General features: G+C 46.6%; 1 annotated feature.

The window, feature by feature from the left end:
- Window positions 1-1200: an enhancer, noted in NCBI's record as "CDK7 strongly-dependent group 2 enhancer chr16:80078510-80079709 (GRCh37/hg19 assembly coordinates)". NCBI's record gives its function as "activates an origin of replication core promoter dependent on BRD2, BRD4, P300/CBP, MED14 and CDK7 cofactors, with strong dependence on CDK7, by STARR-seq in HCT116 cells {active_cell/tissue: HCT116}" and the evidence as "EXISTENCE:reporter gene assay evidence [ECO:0000049][PMID:35650434]".

Here is a 1772-nt window from a genome sequence, read left to right as displayed (position 1 = left end):
GGTGGGCCAGAGAGGGGGAATGCGGGGGGAAAGCAGGGGAGAAGGCTGCTCTCTCCCCCAGGCGACACCCTCTTCCCCACCCTCTTCACTGGGGACACAAAGACTTTTGTTTTCTCAAGGATATTTTTCAATTAGAAGGTGATGTGGCAAATTGAAATGGAAGGGGAATTAACATTCATTAGAATCCTCAAGGTGCTCAGTGTTGATGTCATTTGGATATTGCAGACACGAGGTAGATTTCATTATCCCCACTGGACAGACAAGGAAACTGAGGTTCAGAAGTAAGTCTCCCAAACTCACAACACTCATATGTTGAGGTGCTGGGGTTTGAATCCAGGTCTTCCTGTTTAGTGTTGTGATGGCAGCACAGGGCACAGGCTCTGTGGTTCCTTTGAGTCCTGACCATCTTGTAACTGAGAGACCTTGAGCAAGGGACTTCACTTCTCAGCACCTCATTTTTGCCAACTGAAAAACAAAACAAAACAAACCACTAGGGTTGATAACAGTATTTATCCTATAGGTCTATTGTAAGGATTAAATGAGTTATTAAATGAAAATAATGTAGAATCGTGCCTGGCAGATAGAACACCCATAATATCTGCTACCCTGGACACGGATTCCTCAAAGTAATCAATGGTGCTTTCTACTACACTAGCACCCCTTCTGCATCACACCTGGGGTTCTCTGCAATGGCTCTGTAACTCATTGCTTTGCATGCAATCTCTCTGACACACCTTGACCAGATTAATCTCCCCCAAATTCTTAAAATGCCATTTTTCCAGGTCACTCCATAATTTTGGAGGCTCCCTATTGCCTGTGGGGTAAAAACTTGAACGTTCATCCATAGAGTGGCTATGCCCTGCTTATCCTGCTAACTTCCGGTTGCCCTCACCACCTGCCCCCCCCCCCCATCCCCTAGCTGGCCCCTGCCCCACCAATGGCACTCAACTTGCTCTCTCCCATTTGAGCAGTAGGTTTCAATCCTGGGTACTTCTCAAATGTCCCACCCCAACTTTATCTTCTCCCAGAAACATCCCTTATAATACGAACTCACAGAGATCTTGGCCCACTCCCTATCTCCCAGAGCCTATACAATCAATGTTTGCTGTTCTCTGACCTGTGCCACCCCATGAATGCTTGGTTCTCTTAAAGGCAGCTGTTGGGGAGGAGATGGAATTTATCATCCCTTGCCATTGTCTGTTGACTTCTCCTTTACCGTGATGTGTGGAGATTACTGGGTTTCCAGGAGGCTGTGGAACGTGGAAGGTCCCTGCAGCAAGAGAAGTCAGAGTCTCAAAGGACAAGATAAAGTTAGACATCTAGAAAACTGAAAGGAAGGAATTCTAGGCAGAGGGAGAAGCTTGTGCAAAGTTTTGGAGGCATGCGAATCCCTGCAGATGGTGAAGTCTGAATGTCAACAGATGATGGAGAGAGGCAAGGTGATGCTGACAGTTCTCAGTGACCAGGGATAACAAGGGCGATTATTCTTCTCAGCTTTCAGCCCTCTCCCCACCCCTTTTCCCTTCCCCACTCCTCTGGAATCCACCTTTAGCCCTGAGCTTGGTTCTTCTTTCAGTTTGATGAACGGTTTCACCACTGCGCTTAATTGTTTCTTTGCAGTAGTCACCGAACAGAATGAAGATTAAATCCTACTAAATAGATGAAGCACCTTGCACAGACTTTGGCCAATAGAGCCTCATCTACTTGCTTTTCTGTATGAAGCGGGAAATCCACTGGATGTTGTTTCACTGTAAGTCGGTATTCCATCCTGG

This window comes from Homo sapiens, chromosome 16 (assembly GCF_000001405.40).
Source record: "Homo sapiens chromosome 16, GRCh38.p14 Primary Assembly".
NCBI lineage: Eukaryota > Metazoa > Chordata > Mammalia > Primates > Hominidae > Homo > Homo sapiens.
Note: the sequence above shows the minus strand (reverse complement) of the source record. Positions and strands in the feature narration are given on the sequence as shown.